The sequence below is a fragment of the Homo sapiens genome, chromosome 16 (genome assembly GCF_000001405.40).
Source record: "Homo sapiens chromosome 16, GRCh38.p14 Primary Assembly".
Classification (NCBI taxonomy): Eukaryota; Metazoa; Chordata; class Mammalia; order Primates; family Hominidae; genus Homo; species Homo sapiens.
Window position 1 is genome coordinate 68,664,095 of NC_000016.10, and position 17,831 is coordinate 68,681,925.

The window sequence follows — 17,831 nt, forward strand, 5'->3', positions numbered from 1 at the left end:
TGAGCCCAGGCACTCTGGCTCCAGACTCTGGGCTGCTTCTGATGCCCGGATTCTGTTCTCAAGCTGAGTACATGATATGCTATTCCCTGGGGGAGAATGCTGGAAAAAGACCATATTTGGGTTAAGTAAAGATCGTGAATTTAAGTTTTGACATACTGATTTCAGGATATCTTGAAAGCATCCAAAAGAGATACTGAATAGACAGATATAACTTTTGGTCAGAGGAAGGATCTGGATATTTAAATTTTTGATATGTGGTCTGAAGTGCCATCAAAAGCCATACCAATTTACCTTCTCATGAGAAATAAATGAGAGAATCAAGAACTTTAAAAAAAAGCAACAAACTGCTTTCCCCAGATGCACTTCCAGAAGCTGACTCAGTAGAAGTGATAGGTGGGCGGTCGGCAGGGAATCTGGATTTTTTAAATTGTTTGCCAGATGATTCTATCAGCTATGTTTGGGAATCACTGCTCTGTGACAACATTAAGCCCTCTTTGAAGAGCTAAATGTATAGAAAGGAACAAACTGGTGAGATGTGAATGAAAGAAGCATAGCATTTTATTGATATTATTATTATTATTTTGAGACAGGGTCTCTCTCTGTTGCCCAGGCTGGAGTGCATGGTGTGATCACGACTCACTGCAGCCTTGATCTCCCAGGCTCAGGTGATCCTCCCACCTCAGCCTCTCAAGTAGCTGGGACCACAGGCATGCACTATCACTCCCAGCTAATTTTGGTAGAGATGGGGTTTCGCCATGTTGCCCAGGCTGGTCTCAAACTCCTGGACTTAAGTGACCCACCCGCCTTGGCCTCCCAAAGTGCTAGAATTACAGGCATGAGCCACTGTGCCTAGCTGCATGGCATTTGGGATTTAATTTCCTATGCTTGCCTCTATGGCAGTTGATCCTATTTTTAAACTTTCTGCTTATCTTAGGATTCTGAATGGCCTTCACCTTCCTGTCCTTCTGTGTTGCTTTTTAAATCACTGCCCCTGGTTTTTAATACTTTATTGTGCTTTTTAAAGCACAACACAGCTGGGCACAGTGGCTCATGCCTGTAATCCCAGCACTTTGGGAGGCTGAGGCGGGCAGATCATGAGGTCAGGAGATTGAGACCAGCCTGGCTAACATGGTGAAACCTCACGTCTACAAAAGATACAAAAAATTAGCCGGGTGTGGTGGCATGTGCCTGTAGTCCCAGCTACTCGGGAGGCTGAGGCAGGAGAATCACTTGAAACTGGGAGGTTCAAGTGAGCCGAGATCATGCCACTGCACTGCAGCCTGGGTGACAGCGTTAGCCTCTGTCTCAAAAAATAATAAATAAATAAATATAAAGCACAACACATCATATTTGACCCTAACAAGCACCTGGGGGTGTGTGTGTGTGTGTATTCCCATTTTAGAGACTGGAAATTAAGCAGCAATAAATGGCTTACATTTATTGAGTACTTACTGTTAAACAGTTTAGAGATTAAGTGATTGACGCAAGGCTGCAGAGCCAGTACACAGCACTTTTACCTACCAGACCCTTAATTGTTACCACAGCTGTCTCAGGTTGATCACTGGGATCTTTGTTCTGGCATGGTCCTTGAGGATGGTAGCCAGTGAGCCAGACAGCACACCTCATGCTGAGTCAGCCGCGTTCCAAACTCTCAGAGTGCCTAGTTTGGGTTTCACTCTGGGAGGGAAGACTCACCTCCTAAGGGTTATGAGGAACTTGATGAACACAGCAGAGCTTTCGTCAGCCAAAACTCCCCTGGAACTGCTTTCTCCACCCTCAACGACATGGGGTTGCCATATAATTTTTCTAGTCGGGGGAAAAACTCACATCAAATTCTGATTGAAAATCAAATACATGTTTACTGTGGAAAAACTGGAAGGCAAAATGGGGGCCTACCACCCATACGGGACCTTTGTCTTTTCAAAGGAATATTTGAAATCAATCATCCATTTCCCAATCTTTCCACCTGAGTCTTTGTTGAGGGTATCTGATCTGAGGCAGAGGGCCCGAGTCTGAATGATTTCACCACTCACTCTCCAGGCTTGCCTCCCCAGTATCCCAGCTTCCTCTTCTGCTTGGCTGGGTCAGAGAAGGGCTGCAAGCTGAGGCCCTCACACACCCCGTCAGCCCTATCTGTGAGAAGATCCAGGTCCAGGGGGCCTGTGTATAGATGGGTGCCATCCGCCAGGTGTAACTGCACTCCACCTGGGTTCTGTTGCCCTCCAAGAGCTGCTCTGCTTACAGCTCTGGGGAAAAAGGCCTGGACACCCAATAGGTGCACCCAGGGCTCTGGCAGGCCCTTGCAGAGCTGCCCCAAGCTTGCTAGGCAAGGGCAATGGGCCTCCCAGCATGCCCAGGGGTGGGTCCCAAGTGAATCCAGGAGCCCCAAGGCCTCTTGGGATCCCAGCATGTGCAGCCTCTTCCCCCCACCCCACTTTGCTGCCCTATGACCTCTCCCGTGGGTCTCCTCAAAACGGGTCTGGCTCACTGGCCACCATCTTGGTTTTCTTGTGCGTGGAAAATACTTGGTGACGGAGAGAGGCAGACCACAGCCTTGGCACCAGGGCTCAGCCCCTCTCTCTCTCTTCTTTTTGGTACAAGAATAAAACTATAAATATTTTATATAATAATTGTCAGCCTTATGCTATAAATGGCTTTATGACCTGCTTTTTTCCCCCCTCTGCAAAATACTTTTTCCTGGGTAGGTTTTCTTTTATAGTATTTAAGGCTGTAGATTAGGCATTTGGGTGACTGTGGCACAGCATAATTAACTGTTCTGTTGAGAGTTAGGTTGTTGAGACCTTTTTTTGCTTTTTTTCCCTATTAAGCAAGTCACGAACATCCTGGCAGGTATGGTTTTGTCACATCTGGGATGGTATCTTGGCACAATTCCTGGGTCAATGGGCTTGTTTAAGGCATTTTAATTTGCCAGAAAGGTTGTGCCAGTTAATATTCCCCCACCCCTAGCAATATATAGCAGCACCCGGTTCCCAACTGTGACACAGCACTTGCCCTTTTAATTTGTATTTCTTAGTTGGTGAACTTTTTTCTATATGTAGTTTTACTTAGGAAAAATGCCAGAATCTTTCTTCAAGTCACTTCCACCTACTTTTCCCCGGTGCCCTCTTATCCCAATCCCTTAACAGAAGGTAGTGATAGCTATAAGGACAAATTTGTTTGTTTTGTGAGCTAGGTATGTCCCTAAAGCAAGCTAGAATAGAAATTTCCTAGGCAATCTCTTCCCCCAACTCCCCAGGCTGCCTTTTGGCCACAATATGTTTAAGATGATGTTTTCCTTTTCCTCTAGTCAAAATACCCAGAGATCAGTAGGGAAATTGGTGGAGAGTGATCACTTGATGGACATTTTGTCTACGGAAAGATGGGTGGTTTTATTTTGCCAGAACATCCAGTAATGTTGGACATCAGGACCAGATAGCACCTCCAGGAAGAGACAAGCTCCTGACCTTCAAGGGTATTCCCTTGGGAGTATGGAGGTGTCTAGGCAAATTCCAACCTAAAAGCAGGCCTGGAACATAAGAGGAATGAGTTCTTAGCCCAGCATCCATCAATTCTTATAAGTCTATTTAAAAAGCTTTCTTTTCCCAATAGCTCTAGTACCCCAGGGACCAAACTCTTCTTGCCCAAGTTTTATTAGTGGCGCCAGTTCAGGACCCGAGGCCAGGCTTGGCAGGATGATCTTTAGAGAGGAGCTTTGAACATAGGCCAGAGACTCCTGGTTTCCATTGGATGTCTTCTATCGAGTGCAGATACATAGAGCTCTGGCTTTTTTGTTGTTAATTTCTCTTTTTATTTATTTTTACCTATAATGTGTCCTATGATATTAATTGTTAATTTCTCTAGAAGCAGCCTCAGGTTACTGATTCCCTTTTTCCCTTCCCCGACAGTATTTTAGGGAATGTACATTTAGGCTCAGTGCTAAAAGCTGTCCATTTATATTGGTAGAGCAGGCACCTCTTCATCAGGTTCATTGACCTTGTAATTCAGAATCCTTGTGGGAGAAACTGAGGCTAATGCGGTCAAATGACTGTCTGAAGCCCTGGATGGGTGTGGAAGAAAGAGCTATGTTTAGGCTTTCATTTTCCAGCCTTAAATTCTGAACTATTGCCCCATGTGCTCATCATCAAGTTGCCCCAGAAAGAGTTTGATGCAAGCCCATTCATGCCCCCGTGATTTGGCCAAGATGTGTGGCCTTGTGGAACCATGCTGCAGTTAGGAACAGGAGTCAGTTTACTTCGCTGACTATTAAAAGATGGGGTAAAGGAGGGATGAGTGATGATGAGACCTGGTTTCGTATCAGTTTCATTATGAAACTAGTGATACAAGCCAGTGGTGCCAGGAAGCATCTGGGAGGAAATTGTAATGATCTGCCCCAGGGCTTACCATTTACTATGTCTTGACTCATAGCTTGCAGAGAAGACTACTCATGTTCCTACATGTGCCTAGCAAGTTTCCCTAGAAAGGCCAGCTTTTTCATGAAATCTCCGTCTTCTGCTTCCTCTGGTAAACCACAGAGGACCCCTACAAAACAGCCCTCTCCAAATGCAGACTGAGCCAGTTCCCTATTGTGCCCTCTGGTCCCATGTGTCACCATCTTTGATCAGCTTCATCCGTTGAGTAAAGCATACAGCTGTAGCTAACTTCTTCCCACTTTGAGAGAGAATTTTTCGATGGTATACATAGAAAGAGGCCAGGATGTGGATGTCAGAAGCCTAGGTTAATTGTAAGTAGTCTAAGGTACCTTTTTATTGAGAGCTTACCTTACTTACTCTGGGCCAGGCACAGTATTCAGTGCTGTTTGAACACTATCCCATTTAATCTTCCTAATAACCTGATGAGGTAGGTATTGTTTCATTTTCCAGATGAGGAAACTGAGCTTCTATATAATCATACAATTTGCCCAATCATGTGATAGATAAGTGACATTATAGGGATTGGAATCCAAGTCTTCTGGACTCCAAATTTCGTATTCTTCATTATTTCCCTGCCTTCAGGATTTGAAACCTGATCTTGCTGCTTCCTGGGGCAGTTCAACCCCTGGCAGCCTCTTGTTTCCTGAGTTGTCAGATTGGGAGAAGTAATACCACATTGCAGGTTATTTTGTGAGGATTTGGGTAGGAAAACACTTAGCTGGGTATCCTGAGCAGAGTGGGTGTTTGAAGCTTATTCCTATCAGTCTGGACCATTGCCCCTTGGTTGTGCTCTGTACCCAACTCAAAGCAGTTTAGAGCTGATGGGGCCAGCTCCTCAGATGTATCTGGAATATGCACCCTGAGTGGGAGGCACATACACCTATAATACATGACCGTTGGCTTCCCCTTGATTATTGACACTGTCCCTTCTACAAATAGATGCACAGCCCAGATACTGTGCTACAAATATGTGGAACCATGTAACAGTGGAAATATGCCAGAAGACAGGGTAGTAGAGTGAGTTGTACACTCTAGTGGGAAGCAGATTTTGTAGACAGCGGGAAGAGGATTTCTAGCTCCTGGTGGGGTGGCGGGGGGGGTGGGCGGTAGCAGCTCTCAGAGTTTTGGGGATTAAGTCTTCTGAGTAGTAGGGGAGTCAATCCATTAGCCTCCTTCTGGGTTACCTGGTGGGAGAGGATTGGAGTCATTGAGTCTCTCCTTAAAGGAAATAATTGACAGAATTGTCTGGTTAGCCCTTTACTGGCTAAAGATCTTCCCTTAGGAAGAGGGCTGTTTTAGGATTGAGAAAAGTGGCCAGGCACAGTGGCTCATGCCTGTAATCCCAGCACCCTGGGAGGCCAAGGTGGGAGGGTCACTTGTGCCCAGGAGTTCTAGACCAGCCTGGGAAACAGCAAGACCCTGTATCTACCAAAAAAATAAAAGTGACCTTTAGTCACTCACTTTGGGAGGCCAAGGTGGGTGGATCACTTGAGTTTGAGACCAGCCTGACCAACATAGTGAAACCCTGTCTCTACTAAAAATACAAAAAATTAGCCGGGCCTGGTGGCGGGCGCCTGTAGTCCCAGCTACTCGGGAGGCTGAGGCAGGAGAATGACGTGAACCTAGAAGGCGGAGCTTGCAGTGAGCCGAGATTGCGCCACTGCACTCCAGCCTGGGCAACAGAGCAAGACTCTGTCTCAAAAAAAAAAAAAAAAAAAAAGAACATCATTAGTACTTAAGTAGTTCTTGAATGAATGCTGCATTGACGAACCTGGCTTTAGAACCTGACCACCCTGGGTTCTCATTCTAATTCCAAGCTGTTCGACCTTTGGCTAGTCATCTCACCGCCACCACCCCTCACCCCCAGCCCTAGTTTCCTCATGTGGTAAATGGTGGGTAATGGTCTGTAAGGTTCTGGGGGTCTACACATTCCCGGTTGGGGTTTATTTTTCTTGAAATGGTTTTGCTCTGTCTCCAGCTGGGGTGCAGTGGCAAGAGCATGGATCCCTGTAACCTCGACCTCCTGGGCTCAAGGTATCTTCCCACCTCAGTTACCTAAGCAGCTGGGACTACATCATGGTTTGGAGTTTCAACTTGTACGTTACTCATGATGGTTCTGTGAAGTGTAATATCCATCTTCCAAATGAGAAAGCATAAATACCTAATAAGTTAATTCAAGTTCTACATCAGCAGTGATATTTCCAATTAATGGATTCTTGAGGGACTTTCACAGGGTCTTCAGCCCAGCTTTAAATAATACTGAATCAGCCTGGCACAGTGGCTCATGCCTGTAATCCCAGCACTTTGGGAGGCCAAAGCGGGTGGATCGCTTGAGGCCAGGAGTTCGAGACCACCCTGGCCAACATGGTGAAACCCTGTCTCTACTAAGAATACAAAAATTAGCTGGGCGTGGTGGTGCACTCCTGTAGTCCCAGCTACTCAAGAGGCTGAGGCAAGAGAATCGCTTGAGCCCGGGAGGTGGAGGTTGCAGTAAGCTGAGATTACACCACTGCACTCCAGCCTGAGTAACAGAGCGAGACTGTGTCTCAAAAAAACAAAAACAAAAAAGTAGTACATAAATATTATCTATTAATAGTAATTTAGAAGGGGAGGGATTTTAGATTGATGTACTTTTTTTTTTTTTTTTTAAGAGACAGGGTCTAGCTATATTGGCCAGGCTGGACTCAAACTCCTGGGCTCAAGCAATCTGCCCACCTCAGCCTCCCAAGTAGCTGGTACTACAGGTGCCTGCCACCATGCCCAGCTGAGATTTGATGCCCACTTGCTAGGTTTGCCATAACAAAGTGCCAGGTACTGGGGTGGCTTAAATAACAGAAATTTATTTTCTTATAGTTCTGGCTTGTAGATGGACAACTTCTCCCTGTGGCTTCACATAGTCTTCCCTCTGTAACTACCTGTGTCCAAACCAAACTTCTTCCTCTTCTAAAGATACCAGTCATGCTGGATTAGGGCCTAGCCTAATGAGTTCATTTTACCTTTTTTTTTTTTTTTTTTTGAGATGGATCTTGCTCTGTTGTCCAGGCTGGAGTGAGGTGGTGCGATCTCGGCTTACTGCAACCTCTGTCTCCTGGGTTCAAGCGATTCTCCTGCCTCAGCCTCCCGGGTAGCTGGGACTACAGGCGCAGGCCACCATGCCCAGCTAATTTCTGTATTTTTAGTAGAGACGGGATTTTACTATGTTGGCCAGGCTGATCTCAAACTCCTGACCTCAGGTGATCCGCCCATCTTGCCCTCCGAAAGTCCTGGGATTACAGGCGTGAGATACCATGCCTGGCTGACTTCATTTTACCTTAATTACCTCTTTAAGGTCCCTGTCTTCACATTTAATGGCCATTTTAGGTACCAGTGGTTAGGACTTCAACATAAGAATTTTGGAGGGACACAACTCGTGTTAAGGGAAAACTTGGACCTGCAGAAAAATTGAGAAAATAAGTTGCCAACAGGTAGTCATGGCCAAATGGTTATTGCAGTGAACTTGAAAATAAGTTTCTGTAAAATTAGCCGGGCGAGGTGGCGGGCGCCTGTAGTCCCAGCTACTCGGGAGGCTGAGGCAGGAGAATGGCGTGAACCCCAGGGGGCGGAGCCTGCAGTGAGCCGAGATTGCGCCACTGCACTCCAGCCTGGGCGACAGCGAGACTCCGTCTCAAAAAAAAAAAAAATAAATAAATAAAAAATAAAAAAAAAAGAAAATAAGTTTCTGATGACCTTCATCATTGGGAAAGGTCATTTCAGTCATTTTTCTGTGCATAGTTACATGTATTATATAGTAGTTCTGCATTCTTATTTTGTTTTACTATCATAGTATAAGAACTTCCCTATATAAAGTGTTATATTGCATAGCTGGATAAATAACCTATGGAGTAAGTGCCCCCATAGATTATTTGACTTTTGCCCTATATTGAAGATGATTTAACCTTTGCCACATTATCGTTCCTGGTCCTTCTAGCACTAAGGCAAAGCACTCATCTTCTGAGGACAGAAGATGAGTCTACAAAGCTGTGTGCTGGCAATAAAGGGCAGGGCCACCTGGGGATCGTGTGGCCCCTGGGACCCTCTGGAACTGAATCAGGCCCAGATCTCCTTTCCCCTTCCTCCCACTGGCCAAGCACGTCACAGCCCAGCACTCCTCGGCGGGGATGTCGTCAAGGAGGCAGGGCTGGTTCCTAAGCGATCTTCTCTTTCTTGTGATCACATTCCAGCCTTCCCACAGAGGATCCTTCTGTGTGTGGTAAGCTTTTGGGCTCTGAGGCAGCTCTTTAGGGTCCCCAAGCCCCTCTGTCCTCTCCCATTCACTGAGTCCACTGCCTAAAAGATGGCCAGTGTCTTAACTTCCTTTGCCTGGATGAGTTTTGCCTGGTTTTGAACTTCCTGTTAGTGGAATCTTGCATATGTCCTCTCATATCTGGCTTCTACTACTCAACCTTATGTTTGTTAAATTTCCCATGTAGTTGCCTGTCCTTGTGCTTCATTCACTTCATTATGTGAATATACCCAGTGTTTCTACCCATTCTCCCTCATTGTTTGGGCCGATTCTGGCTTAGCTATTATGAATAGTGCTGTTATGAACATTATAATACATAGGTTTTGGCAAATGTATTTTTGTTGGGTCTGTACATCACAGTGGACTTTCTGGGTCTTAGGGAATTAATATATCAATATGTACTGCCAAATTGTTTTCCAAAGTGATTGTCTTCCCATATCAGACTTTTGTTTGTGTGTGTGTTAAAATAGGCATAACATAAAATGTACCATTTCAACCATTTTTAAGTAAATAATTCAGTAGCACTAAGTACATCCACAGTTTGTGCAACATCGCCATTATCTATCTCCCGAACTTTTTCATCATCCCCAACAGAAACTCTGTACTCATTAGGCATTAGGTAGTAGTTCCCCTCCCCTCTCTCTCTCTCTAGCCCCTGGTCAATTCCTTTTTTTTTTTTCTTAGAGAAAAGGGTCTTGCTGGAGTACAGTGGCGCAGTCATGGCTCACTGCAGCTTCAAACTCATGGGCTCAAATGATCCTCCCACTTCAGCCTCCCAAGTTGCTGGAACAGGTGCATACCACCATGCCCAGATGATTTTCAAAAAATTCGTATAGAGGCCGGGTGCAGTGGCTCACTCCTGTAATCCCAGCACTTTGGGAGGCCAGGCGGGTGGATTGCTTGAGGCCAGGAGTTCGAGACCAGCCTGGCCAACATGGTGAAACCCCATCTCTACTAAAAATACTAAAATTAGCTGGGCATGGTGGTGCACACCTGTAGGCCCAGCTACTCGGGAGGCTGAGGCATGAGAATCGCTTGAACCTAGGAGGTGGAGGTTGCGGTGAGCCACTGTACCATAGCCTGGGCAAGAGAGTGAGACTCCATCTCAGAAAAAAAAAAAGATTCATCTCTTGATGGACACTTGGGTTGTTTCTACCTTTTGACTATTATGAATAACACTGCTGTAAAAATGAATGCATAAGTATCTGTTTGAATCCTTTTGGTTCTTTCAGGTATATACCTAGGCATTGAATTGCTAGGTCATGTGGTAATTCTACATTTAACACGTTGAGGAACTGCCAAACTGTTTTCCACAGTGGCTGCATCATTTCACATTCCCACCAGCAGTGTACGACAATTCCAATTTCCCTCTATCCTTGCCAACACTTGTTGTTTTCTTTTTTTTCTTTTATAGCCATCCTAGTGCATGTGAAGTGGTATCTCATTGTGATTTTGATTTGCATTTCCCTATTAACTAATGATATTGAGCATCTTTTCATGTGCTTATTGGCCATTGTGTATCTTCTCTGGAGAAAGGTTTTTTCAAGTCCTTTGCCTGTTTTTTAAAATTGGGTTTTGTTGTTGTTGAGTTTTATGAATTCTTTACATATTCTGGATATTAATCGTTTAGGATTCTTCTTTTTCGGCCAGGCATGGTGGCTCGTATCTGTAATCCCAGTGCTTTGGGAAGCCAAGGCAAGAGAAGTGCTTGAGCCCAGGAGTTCGAGACCAGCTGGGGCAACAAAGTGAGGCCCCATCTCTACAAAAAATTAAGGAAAATTAGCCGGGTATGGTGGCATGCGTCTGTGGTCCCAGCCACACAGGAGGCTGAGGCAGGAGAACCCCTTGAGCCTGGGAGGTTGAGGCTGTAGTGAGTTATGATTGCACTGCTGCATTCCAGCCTAAGTGACAGAGTGATACCCTGTCTCAAAAAAAAGAATTCTACTTTTTTATATTGTGCTCTTATATACTATGTGAATACTTTGTCATGTCCATATTACTTTCATTATTTTAAAAACCTCATCTGGGCCGGATGCAGTGGCTCACGCCTGTAATCCCAGCATTCTGGGAGGCCGAGGCGGTCAGATCACAAGGTCAGGAGTTCGAGACCAGCCTGGTCAATATGGTGAAACCCCATCTCTACTAAAAATACAAAAATTAGCTAGGCATGGTGGTGCGTGCCTATAGTCTCAGCTAGTCGGGAGGCTGAGGCAGAAGAATCACTTGAACCTGGGAGGTGGAGGTTGCAGTGAGCCGAGATCATGCCACTGCACTCCAGCCTGGGTGACAGAGTGAGACTCTGTTTCCAAAAAATAAAAAAAGTAAAAATTGAAAGAAAAAAAAAACCCTCATCTGTTATCCTTTCTTATTTTAAGGAAAGGTATTTTTAAACCAAAATAATAATAATCTGAAACTAAAAGACAGGCTTTCTGAAAGGACAGTTTGTGCCCTCGCCTGACATACCTATGGACAGGCGTGGGGCCGTCCTTGTGGTCTTTGTTATGTTGCAGCCTAGCAAAAATGGGAGCACTGGGCAGAGCATGGTGCTGACAGGACCCAGGGTATAGCCCCTGGCAGATTCCCTGATTTCTTGCGTTGGCCATAAGGAAGAGTAGGTAACAACGTTGGTTGTGAATATTCTCTAGTGTGTGTCTTGGAGTCGGGTAGACCTGGCTTCTGAACCTCAGTTTTCTAATCTTTGGAAAGGCGGCTGGGCGCGGTGGCTCATGCCTGTAATCCCAGCACTTTGGGAGACCGAGGCGGGTGGATCACAAGGTCAGGAGTTCAAGACCAGCCTGGCCAACATGGGGAAACCCAATCTCTACTAAAAAACAAAAATTAGCTGGGCATGGTGGCGCACGCCTGTAACCCCAGCTACTCAGGAGGTTGAGGCGGGAGAATCACTTGAACCCAGGAGGTGGAGGTTGCTTTGAGCTGAGATTGTGCCACTACACTCCAGCCTGGTGACAGAGCAAGACTCTGCCTCGAAAAAAAAAAAAAAGAAAAGAAAAAAAAGTGGGGGATAATACCTACCTTGGTATCATAGTTATAGGGATGAAATTCACCTCCAGCTGGTGAATGGTGGTTACTAACTCGGAGTGCTTGTTTAAAGAGTAGCCAAGCATTGGGGATTCAGAAGGAGCGAAATGAACTGAAACAACCAAAGGTTGTCCAGGTGATCCTGTGGGCATATATATTGTGTGTAAATAGACTCTCACAGCCTTCAGAAAATCTTCTGCCTCTAGCTATGACCTTAGTCAACCCCATGTCACATGAGGCCACCTGGGGCTAATGTCCATGAATGTCTATGATCTTGGTCCTCTGGGACCAAGAACAAAGAAGAGTTTGACCCACAAACTGACCACCAGGCGATCTTCCCTCTCGAAACCAAACTTGGAAGCCTCCTCTGAAACTTGTATTAGTCACACTCCTGGTCAGAGAAAGTAAGCCAAGTCTCCCTTCTGCAGCCACTTAGCAGTCCTGGATCCAGTCAGAGGACTCTTGTCAGTCTTGTTTTCCTGGGGCAACTTCCAGAATACTCCTGCCTTCCTAATGCTCTCTCTTCCCCTTCCCCACAGTATTCATGGGCTGCCCTGGGCAAGAGCCAGCTCTGTTTAGCACTGATAATGATGACTTCACTGTGCGGAATGGCGAGACAGTCCAGGTAAAATACCATGTCCACCTGCAGGACAAAAGAAAGATGTTCTCTGTGCATGCCCAAATTGCTGGCCAGGAGCCCTTGGTTGCTGTGGCCATTGTGAGCCAAGTCAGCCCTTCAGAGGAGGTAGTGTTAGTCCTCAGCTGTCCACAGCTTGGGTGTGAGCACTGATCTAAGGGGGGTAGTGCTTGCAGCTACCCAACAGTGGTGCCTGAGGTCAGGCCAGTGGAGCCAAGAGCTGCCTTGTGAGTAATCACCCACTGTACTGAGTCCCTCGGATTCCCTCTCCCACCTTCCTTTACTTCCTTCCCTTATCATCCATGTTAACCCCAACTGAAAGCAGCTCTAAATGCAGGCCTGCCAATCCCATGAGCCTCCAGGAAGATACATCTGGGGTGCTTGGCCACACTTCGTTTTAATTTTTGAATAGCTAATATAGCCACATGGTTCAAAAATAAAAAATAATAATAAGCTATACAATAAATAATCTCCCCTTGTTTGCCTCCATTTGCCCAAAGCCCCCTTCACCCCTTCACGCAGTTAACCACTGTTCCCAGTTTCTTTCCTTCCAGAGTTTATATATAGTCTATACTTACATGTGTTACATATTTATTTATATTGTACATGTTTTTACATGTTACCTATTTCGTATATATACATATATAAAAACAGATTCTTTTCCTTATGCAAAAGCTAAGATGCTGTTCACATGTCTGCACCTTTCTTTTTCTACTTAACAGTGTATCAGCACAGCACAATGTCTACCCTCTTTCCACAGATAGCCACTATTAGTTTTTTTCTGTATTCTCCCTGACTTCATCCATGTACAAGAAAATATGACTATATGGTCTTATTTCCTACCCTTTTACACAAAAGGTGGAACAGTACCTGGCACATATTAAGCACAATGTGTTTGTTAAATAAAATGCTAAACTCTATTAAGCTGCCCTATACCTTAATCTTTCCATTTGACAGCATAAATCAAAAATCAGGCCGAATGCGGTGGCTCACGCGTGTAATCCCAGCACTTTGGGAGGCCGAGGCGGGTGGCTTGCTTGAGGTCAGGAGTTCGAGACCAGCCTGGCCAATATGGTGAAACTCTGTCTCTACTAAAAATACAAAAATTAGCTGGGCGTGGTGGCAGATGCCTGTAATCCCAGCTACTCAGGAGGCTGAGGCAGGAGAATCACTTGAACCTGGGAGGCAGAGGTTGCAGTGAGCTGAGATCGTGCCACTGCACTCCAGCCTGGGTGGCAGAGCGAGACTCCGTCTCAAAAAAAGGAAAAGAAAGAAAAAAAGATCTTTCCCTTTTGGCACATAGAGAGCATACTCATTCTTATTTTTAGAGCTGCATAGTATTCCACTAGATGGATGTGCTGTAGTATATTTCACTGGTCCTCCTGTATAAGTAAACACCGAGTTTCCCTTGCAATAGGCTCATCTAGGTCTCCTCACCCTTAACTTTTTTTTTTTTTTAATTTAACTTAGGGTCTCGCTATCTTGCCCAGGCTGCTCTGGAACTCCTGGGCTCAAGTGACCCTCCCAAAGTACTGGGATTATAGGCGTGAGCTACCATGCCCAGCCACCCTTTTAACTCTTATAGGTGAGAGGATGTTGAGCATGTCCCAGCTATTTGCACATCTGGGTTAAGGAGTTTCTCTCCTTGCAGGAAAGAAGGTCACTGAAGGAAAGGAATCCATTGAAGATCTTCCCATCCAAACGTATCTTACGAAGACACAAGAGAGATTGGGTGGTTGCTCCAATATCTGTCCCTGAAAATGGCAAGGGTCCCTTCCCCCAGAGACTGAATCAGGTACGACTGTGCCTTCTCCTGGGAAGCATTGGTGGCTCCAGGGACCCCCATCCAAAGGCCTGCATGAGATTTCTTGCTACTGAATGTGGGGGCTGAGACAGAAAAACCTCTCCTGTTCAGTGAGCAGATTCTCCTATGGCAGTGCCCCTCTTCACAGAGGACTCTTTGTCACAGTCATGGGATATTTGTTACTTTGTCAGCTGCCATTTTCTTTTCCCTCCAGCTCAAGTCTAATAAAGATAGAGACACCAAGATTTTCTACAGCATCACGGGGCCGGGGGCAGACAGCCCCCCTGAGGGTGTCTTCGCTGTAGAGAAGGAGACAGGCTGGTTGTTGTTGAATAAGCCACTGGACCGGGAGGAGATTGCCAAGTATGAGGCAAGTAGCCTTTAGTGTCTACTGTAAATGTCCCCTCAGAAGTGGGATCCTAGGCCTGGTGAGGTGGGTGGCACCGGGCTGACCCCAGAGCTGTGTACCCCACAGCTCTTTGGCCACGCTGTGTCAGAGAATGGTGCCTCAGTGGAGGACCCCATGAACATCTCCATCATCGTGACCGACCAGAATGACCACAAGCCCAAGTTTACCCAGGACACCTTCCGAGGGAGTGTCTTAGAGGGAGTCCTACCAGGTAAGAGGACTGGGAAGGGGACTGCTACGGGGCTGGGCCCACACCCTTAAATGCTAAAAGATCCCACCATACCTGATTTCCTTGGCTGTGTATCAGATTACTTGGGATCTTCTTAAAAATCCAGATTTCCCCCCTTCCATCCCAAGGTTCCTGAATAAGAATGATCCTAGAGCAGAGCTCTGGAATCTGTATATTTGAAATTTTCCCTAAAGCTTCAGATGATCAGCCAAGCTTGGGAACCACTAGCTTTGGAGCTTCAAAGACCTAGATTTGAATCTTGGCTTTGCCCTCTTTACCGGCTGTGATCCTGGGCATATTCTTGACCTCTGAGCCTCACTTCTCACATCTAAAAATGGGAATAATATCAACTTTGAAGAGTGGTGAAGATTAGAAATACCATGTGCAGACTGTTAGGTAATACAGAGCGCCTAATGCGAAGCTCTTGAGAGCATGGCAGCCACAGGGAATGCAGCAAAGACTGGAGTGTTAGAACATGGCTGATGGAGGCTGGGCGCGGTGGCCCACGCCTGGAACCCTAGAACTTCAGGAGCCTAGGCAGGCACATCACTTGAGATCAGGAGTTTAAGACCAGCTGGGCCAACATGGTGAAATCCTATCTCTACTAAAAATATTAAAAAATTAGCCGGGCGTGGTGGCGGGCACTTGTAATCCCAGCCACTCAGGAGGCTGAGGCAGGAGAATCACTTGAACCCAGGAGGCAGAGGTTGCAGTGAGTCGAGATCACACCATTGCACTCCAGCCTGGGTGATAGAGTGAGACTTCATCTCAAAAAAAAAAAAAAAAAAAAAAAAGAAAAGAAAAAAAGAGTTCCAGAAGTAGACAGGGCTGGAGTTGGAACTGGGAGGAAAAGATACTCATCCCTTCTCTCCAGGTACTTCTGTGATGCAGGTGACAGCCACGGATGAGGATGATGCCATCTACACCTACAATGGGGTGGTTGCTTACTCCATCCATAGCCAAGAACCAAAGGACCCACACGACCTCATGTTCACCATTCACCGGAGCACAGGCACCATCAGCGTCATCTCCAGTGGCCTGGACCGGGAAGTGAGTGGCCCTTAGGGAAAGTACTGCCTACCCAGACTTGCCCAGGCTGGGAACTGACTCTGAGAGCAGAAGCTCCTATCCCTGCCCACAAAGCCCAAGGCAGAACAGTGAGGACCCACGTCAGCTGGGATGGCCACTGCTGGGTTCACATGCCATGCCCCTGGTTCCTTGGGCCTGTGGCCCGCTGCCAGCCAATCTCGTTAAATCTCCTCCAGGGCTGGGAGGCAGCTGTAAAATGCCTACTTTTGGTATTTTCTGTAGGTTTTCTCATTTCCTCTCAGAGTGGCTCACTTAGTGTGCACATTACCCAAATTGGTCCCTTATGTGCCACAAAGTAGAATTAGCTCCATGGATACTGGATTTGCTGCCTGTTTCCTAATTGATACCTTTATCCAAATCCTCACTCAAAACTCTTTTTCTGAGGCCAGGCACAGTGGCTCACGCATGTAATCTCAGCACTTTGGGAGGCCAAGGCGGGAGGATCACTTGAGGTCAAGAGTTCAAGACCAGCCTGGCCAACATGGTGAAACCCTGTCTCTACTAAAAATACAAAAATTAGCTGGGCGTGGTGGCAGGCACCTGTAATCCCAGCTACTTGGGAGGCTGAGGCAGGAGAATCACTTGAACCTGGGAGGTGGAGTTTGCAGTGAGCCAAGATCACGCCACTACACTGCAACCTGGGCGACAGGGCAAGATCCTGTCTCAAAAACAAAAGCAAGACTCATTCTGGAGCAGTTAAGGGTCAGGGGGCGATGCCAAGGCTTCCCTAGGACAGGCCCAGGAGAACTATTTGGATCACTCGTTCCCTCTCCAACAGCATCCTCTGCTTCTGTTCTCCTGGCAGTGGGTGAGGGGTGGTCAAGGAGTCAGCGTTATGATAGGGAGAGATCCTCCTCTCCATCCACACACCCATGAGCCAGTGCTTCCTGGAGGTCAGGGGAGGGACCCTTCAGATTAAACTCACAATGGGCTTCCCCTCTCCTTTCTCCCCAGAAAGTCCCTGAGTACACACTGACCATCCAGGCCACAGACATGGATGGGGACGGCTCCACCACCACGGCAGTGGCAGTAGTGGAGATCCTTGATGCCAATGACAATGCTCCCATGTTTGACCCCCAGAAGGTAATGCCCCTTCCTCACTCAGTCCCTCATCAGATAATGAAGGACCAAAGTTTGCCTTTCTCAGGAAACTGGAACCAGTCTATATTGCTTCAAATGCCAGTCTCAGCACTATGGCTGTGTGACCTTAGGAAAACTACCTAACCTCTCTGTGCCCCATTTCCTAATCTGTGAAAAGGAGATAATGATAATACCTGCTGCATTGTTCTGAGTTTCAAATGAAATAATCTATGTACGTTTCCTAACACGATGCCCTAAAAGAAGTGCTTGATATGAAAATCTTTGTTGATTTGAAAACATATTTTCCTTGTACCTACACCTGCCCATCTTTTCCCAGTGAATGCTTGTGTACCTCCAAGGCAGAGGACTCAGTGCCAATCAAGGTGCCAATTACATCCTCCCCCTTCCATCTTTAGACAACTCTGAACGTTAATTAGGTCTGAATAAAAATTTGTAATGACGCCAGGGGCGGTGGCTCACACCTGTAATCCCAGCACTTTGGGAGGCCAAGGCGGGCAGAACACTTTTGAGGCCAGGAGTTCAAGACGAACCTGGCCAATATGGCGAAACCCCGTCTCTACTAAAAATACAAAAATTAACCAGGTGCAGTGGCATACACCTGTAGTCCCAGCTACTTGGGAAGCTGAGACATGAGGATCGCTTGAGCTTGGGAGGTGGAGGTTGCAGTGAGCCGAGATCACACCACTGCACTCCAGCCTGAGCGGCAGACTGAGACTGTCTAAAAAAATAAAATAAAAATAAATAAATAAATTTTTTGTTCCGAGCAACTGATTTTCCAGTCTTTGTCACATGTCCCAGAACCTCCAAAAAA

At 46.3% G+C, this 17,831-nt stretch overlaps 1 protein-coding gene across 5 annotated transcripts in view, besides 2 other annotated features; it reads left to right on the forward strand.

The window, feature by feature from the left end:
* Positions 1-17,831, forward strand: part of CDH3 (cadherin 3) — an 88,462-nt gene that overhangs the window by 18,785 nt on the left and 51,846 nt on the right. For all 5 annotated transcript variants that reach the window (XM_047433450.1, XM_011522800.4, NM_001793.6 and 2 more), the window contains 6 exons: positions 12,291-12,376; positions 14,040-14,183; positions 14,407-14,562; positions 14,668-14,812; positions 15,705-15,880; positions 16,874-17,002. In XM_047433450.1, the coding sequence (XP_047289406.1) occupies positions 12,291-12,376; positions 14,040-14,183; positions 14,407-14,562; positions 14,668-14,812; positions 15,705-15,880; positions 16,874-17,002 (836 nt within the window). The remainder of the gene's footprint in view (positions 1-12,290; positions 12,377-14,039; positions 14,184-14,406; positions 14,563-14,667; positions 14,813-15,704; positions 15,881-16,873; positions 17,003-17,831) is intronic.
* Positions 12,668-12,812: an enhancer, noted in NCBI's record as "145 bp 16:68710737 sequence used in MPRA reporter constructs". NCBI's record gives its function as "activates a minimal TATA-containing promoter with rs3118228 allelic activity by MPRAs in C283T melanocytes and UACC903 melanoma cells {active_cell/tissue: C283T | UACC903}" and the evidence as "EXISTENCE:reporter gene assay evidence [ECO:0000049][PMID:36423637]".
* Position 12,740: a transcriptional cis regulatory region, noted in NCBI's record as "rs3118228 or 16:68710737 MPRA-significant variant associated with a GWAS melanoma risk locus at 16q22.1". NCBI's record gives its function as "allelic transcriptional activity by MPRAs in C283T melanocytes and UACC903 melanoma cells {active_cell/tissue: C283T | UACC903}" and the evidence as "EXISTENCE:reporter gene assay evidence [ECO:0000049][PMID:36423637]".